This window comes from Homo sapiens, chromosome 14, assembly GCF_000001405.40.
Source record: "Homo sapiens chromosome 14, GRCh38.p14 Primary Assembly".
Classification (NCBI taxonomy): Eukaryota; Metazoa; Chordata; class Mammalia; order Primates; family Hominidae; genus Homo; species Homo sapiens.
Window position 1 is genome coordinate 38217553 of NC_000014.9, and position 6000 is coordinate 38223552.

The 6000-nt window shown below is 38.0% G+C and overlaps 1 annotated feature.

The window, feature by feature from the left end:
- Positions 4438 to 4962: an enhancer, noted in NCBI's record as "OCT4-NANOG hESC enhancer chr14:38691195-38691719 (GRCh37/hg19 assembly coordinates)". NCBI's record gives its function as "activates a minimal SCP1, AML or CMV promoter by ChIP-STARR-seq in primed H9 embryonic stem cells {active_cell/tissue: H9 hESC(primed)}" and the evidence as "EXISTENCE:reporter gene assay evidence [ECO:0000049][PMID:30033119]".

Consider the following 6000-nt stretch of genomic DNA (forward strand, 5'->3'; position numbering starts at 1 on the left):
AGCCTGGCTATTCTTTTGTGGTAAGACAGATGCAGAAAGTAAAACATGTCTTCTTTCCAGGTTCAAATTTCAAACGAAAGAGAAAATGTTATTTTCTCTTTTGGGCTGTCTGAGAACATTTATCTGTTGGGAGGCACTCCTCTCTTGGTTTCTTATACATTTTGCTGAGTATGCCAAGAATGTGAGGCCCTGACTGCTGACTGTTCTGTACCTGGATTATTTCTCAAGGTTGTGTTTGCAGCAAGCAATCTTGAGCAATCAGTTAACGTCTCTTTCAAGGTCAGAAAGAAGGCTTGGTCCCTGCTTGCTATAAAGTGGTGGTTTATCCAAGATCAGTGTCCTTCAAATGTGACAAAAACCCACTGCTACACAGCATCCATCTGGGCTCATAGTGCATCACCCATATGAGAATGGGAGGCAAAGAGAACTAATGCAAATCATGCTTGCTGGCTGTGCCATAAGCAATAAAGTCCTCTGCCTGACCCAGGAATCTTGTATCTTCTGCCAACCTCTATTAAACAGCAACAGACTAACTTATTAGCTTGTAAGGAAGGTGAGTAAAATTCCAGAATGTGACAGCGTCTGCCACTGAATTCATTAGCAAAGTCTGAGGAATATGGCTGGCTGGCCTGGATGATATAATCTACCCTTGGAGATAGCAGTGTCAACTTTACCCAGAAATGGGAGGGTAGCAGGGTCGATTTCAAGAGGAATAAATTGAGATAAAATTACCCAAAGTATGTAATGAATGGTAGTTGCATGGCAACAAACAAACAGCAACAACAACAAAATCAAGCACCATCTACAACTGCCAGGCATATTAAGAGCTCAGTAAATTGAAGATACTATTATTATTATTATTAATCATTATTGGTGTTCTACAAGAGAAAGTGGAGAATTGAGGTGATTCAGGTTTTAAAATGCTTCTACATGATCTAGCCATATAAAATTACTTAGACAGTGTTAGATTTACTTTAAACAAACAACACTTTGTTTCATTTCTTTGCATGTAAGTACCACTGAAAGCTGAGCGAAATATATTTGTATTTATGCATTTTTTTCTATGATAAAGGACACTAGTGATGTTATTTATTTGGGAAATTCAAAATATCTCATAAATGTTAAAAGGATTTTGATCTAGAAATTAACAGATTCCATATGGCCTCAAGAAAATTAATCAGTCTTTACATTAGATTCTACAGCTTTAAAATCAGATTAGATATTAATCCAGGTTAGTAACATTTTGTTACATTTTCATAAGATTAATAATATTATTTAAATATGTTTAAAAATAACTTGATAAAATCATTTTAATGTTACACATAGCATAATGTTAAGCATATTGAAGATGGCACTGAAGTTAGCAGCATATAGGAATAAAACACAAAGTGATATGCAAAGGTTTGGCAGGGCTAGATGTGAAACCACACTTTATCATCAACAATTGTGGGAAAGTTTGCTTTAAACATAATTTTAAGTAACATAAATAAGGTAGCCCACCACAACCAGAGATGGGTACCAATGATTAGTAAAATAGTATCCAAATAAGCTTCCTTCATTTTTCCTGTGGCTTACACATATAGCTATGCCATACATTTGGGACCCTAAAACACCATTGTGAAGATAACCAGTTCCCATGAATTAGACTGACAGTTCAGTTCCCTTCAGATTTCATAGCAGTTACATAAAACTGTCAGTAACCAGAGTTTAAAATACAGCAGCGGGGCAGGCAGAGAAGGAACATTTACTCAGTATCTACTTTGTAAGTGACACATTTTGCTAAGTGCTTTACATTTTATCCCATTTAGTTTTCCCCAAGATTCCTGTGAATTAGAAATCTTCATTTCTTATACAAGGAAGGTTGTGTGTGTGTGTGTGTGTGAGAGAGAGAGAGAGAGAGAGAGAGAGAGAGAGAGAGAGAGAGAGAGAACTTGCCCAGCACATAAAAGCTGATAGGTGATAGAAACAGAACCAGGAGTACTGGAAACCAGATCAATTTGACTCCAAGAACAATGATCCTCTATCAATTGAAGTCCTTTTAAATGGCACATAAATGTCATTCTGCAAACTATCTAAAATTGGGAAAATTTTGACTGTTGTTTCAGGATTCCCCCATTACAGTGACCAACAACAAAATGTACCACCCTACTCATGATCTCTACCTAAAGTATAATAAGCTAAATAATCGGTAAATACTAAAACAGCTATATTTCCCACAGAAATGAGTCAGATTGCTTAGGAGAAAAACTAGTTTCACTGCTAAGTCAAATGTGCCCATTTCAAGAACTCCATATGATACACATAAGGCCACACCATACATGCCCCTCCTTCTAATTAGGGAAGCAGTGCCACAGTGCAGTGATTAAGTAGGTGGGATCAAGAATCAGAATGCATTGTTTAGAATCTTGGCTTTGGAAAATCACTGGTTATTGTTTACAGAAAAATCTTAGACAAATTATGTTTAACAGAGTTTAATTGAGCACAGAATGATTCACAAATTGGGCAGCCCCCAAATGACAATAGGTTCAGAGAGATTCCAGTGTAGCCACATGGTGAAAAATTTATGGACAGAGAAAGAAAGCAGGCTACAGAAAATGGAAGTGAGGTACAGATTGGCTACAGCCCAGTGTTTGCCTTATTTGAACATGGTTTGAATGGTTGACTACATTTGATTAGCCAAAACTCAGTGACTGGCACAACAGTAGGTTACAGTCTGTTTGCACATCCACTAAGGTTACAGTTCACTATGTACAGAGAAACTTTGAGGCCAAACTTAGAATATATAAGGAGGCAGCTTTGGGCTAAACAATTCCTCCCTTTTGGTCATCACTCAATATTGAGAGATTGACCAAAACTTTAGGCTTCAATGTCACTCTGTCACCATTTAAAAGTGTACTTATTTGGTCTTAAATTTTACTGGAAAATAGTAGGAAATTAGGTTTGTAAGATGGAAACAAGGACTTCAGGTTATTTTTTCTTTAGCAATTTCCCTCTTTCAGTCAGTTTCTCACTTAGGTGAGAGTGTGACCAAAACATAGTACCTTCATGCCACACTCAGTTACCATCCTTTTGAGTTTCCAGTCTCACCACATCATTCACAAGTTATGGTGCCCACATTTTTCTTCTGAGCTTTTATCACCACAGTTGAAGAGAGCATTTGACATCCTTGACATGGCTGCATGCAAACATTTAAAACTTTTGAGAGAATACAGTGCACCAGGGAGACTATTATGTCTATCAGGAGGATAATACCAAGAGTTTAGGGTGTGCTCCTTAGCCAGGTCCCAGTGAAACAAACCAGCTAAAATAAATAGATCAAAGAATGGGCTAGATAAAACATCTACCATTTTCAACCAAGCAGCCTGCTCATTAATCTCCTATTACTGAATCTCTGTAACACCCAATGTATGCCTCTATGTGCAACTACAAGTATCAGCAACAGCAAAGATACTTCTCTGTTTAGCCAGTAAGTCATCTAGAGCAATTCTGTTATTTAGCATAACTTTAACAAGATAATTTTAAATCTGTTGTGAAACCATAGCCTTTGCAGTAGAATCTGTTAAAGAGCCCAGCGTGAGGGATAAATTTCTAACTATTGCCTCATTTACTCCAAACCATGGGAAAAGAGACCTAAAAAATGATGCCCATCCAGAAGAGCAAACGCCTCCTGGCAATGTACTCTTTAACTTATGCAGACAATGTTCTCTTTAATCTATGACGTAGTTTAAAGAGTGGACTGATGTTTTGTTTCTGATCAGTTATGAAGCAACAAAGGTGCCATTGATTCTGCCTTGTAGCCTCTGGTCTAGGTGTTGAGAACATATCTCTAGGCCTCACCATGACCATCTATCCAGACCCCTGAATCTAGAGGCTCAAAACTAAAAACATACATAAACTCACAGTCACATCAAGCAATTATTGAATTATATTTCACCAACAATTTTGAAGCCATTCCTATTTTACCAACAACTTAAAAACTAGCTTTATTTACCAAACATTATCATCAACAAATAACACATACAGACATAGAGACATAGAGACACATAGACAGAAGCAGATTTACAGCTTTCATAAAGTGTTCTCATTTGCTGGCTTTCAGATTTTTCCCCCCATTCAGACTATCACTCTTTCAATTGCCCCGTTTCATTGCCCTAAGCAATTGTTAGCTAGGCAACTCTAAATTTGCATTTCTAAAGGAACAGCTCAGGTGAAACAAGAAATTGTATATTTCAAAAACACATAGCTAAGATTTTAGGCCTAAATATAATAGCATCATTTGTTCAAACAAAGGAAAACCTGATGAAAGGATTCCCTATTTAATAAATGCTGCTGGGAAAACTGGCTAGCCATATGCAGAAAGCTGAAACTGGATCCCTTCCTTACACCTTATACAAAAATTAATTCAAGATGGATTAAAGACTTAAATGTTAGACCTAAAACCATAAAAACCCTAGAAGAAAACCTAGGCATTACCATTCAGGACATAGGCATGGGCAAGGACTTCATGTCTAAAACACCAAAAGCAATGGCAACAAAAGACAAAATTGACAAATGGGATCTAATTAAACTAAAGAGCTTCTGAACAGTAAATGAAAGTTCAATTAAGAGGAAATGGCCAGAAAAGCACCTTAAAGAAAGTATGACTTGTTATGTAAATTTAAAACAATAGCAAGCGTTTCTAATGAACACAGACAGATACCCTTATATATGGAGGTTTCCTTTATAGATGTAAATTTCTTTTACCAAAAGGTTTCAAGATAGCCAGTTAAATACCAGAAAAGTGCATTTTGGAGATCAATTTAGTTCAATAGGTAGCCTTTTAAGCTGCTATTTCTTAGATAAAAATTACTGAGTTCAAGGTGTAGCCCATTAAAAAAAATAGGGCAAAGACAGCTTTTTGGGTTTTTTTTTTTTAGTCAGAGTCTCATTGTGTTGCCCAGGCTGGAGTGCAATGGCACGATATCAGCTCACTGCAACCTCCACCTCCCGGGTTCAAGCAATTCGTCTGCCTCAGCCTCCTAAGTAGCTGAAATTACAGGCGCCCGCCATCACGCCCGGCTAATTTTTGTATTTTTAGTAGAGACGAGGTTTCACCACATTGGCCAGGCTGGTCCCTTGGTCAGGCTGGTCGTGAACTCCTGACCTCATGATCCGCCCGCCTCGGCCTCCCAAAGTGCTGGGATTACAGGTGTGAGCCACCGCGTTGGGCCCATCATTTTCTGTACCTTGAGTTAGCATGAATAGATCTGAAAAAGAGAAGATAAGCCTACTTTGCCTGAAGGCCTACTTTTTTTTTTTTTTTTTTTGACATTTACATGGTGTGGGGAAGGCTGGTTGGCCCACCTTAATCTTTTTATTTTTTATTTATTTTTATACTTTAATTTCTGGGGTACATGTGCGGAACGTGCAGTTTTGTTACATAGGTATACACGTGCTGTGGTGGTTTGCTGCACCTATCAACCTGTCACCTACATTAGGTATTTCTCCTAATGTTATCCCTCCCCTAGTCCCCGAGCCCCCAACAGGCCCCAGTGTGTGATGTTCCCCTCCCTATGTCCATGTGTTCTCATTGTTCAACTCCTACTTATGAGTGAGAACATGCGGTGTTTGGTTTTCTGTTCTTGTGTTAGTTTGCTGAGAATGATGGTTTCCCGCTTCATCCATGTCCCTGCAAAGGACATAAACTTATCCTTTTTTATAGCTGCATAGTATTTCATGGTGTATATGTGCCACATTTTCTTTATCTAGTCTATTATTGATAGACATTTGGGTTGGTTCTAAGTCTTTGCTATTGTGACTAGTGCCACAATAAACATACGTGTGCATGTGTCTTTATGGTAGAATGATTTATAATCCTTTGGGTATATACCCAGTAATGGGATTGCTGGGTCAAATGGTATTTCTAGTTCCAGATCCTTGAGGAATTGCCACACTGTCTTCCACAATAGTTGAACTAATTTGCACTCCCAACAGCCTAAAAGTGTTCCTATTTCTCCACAT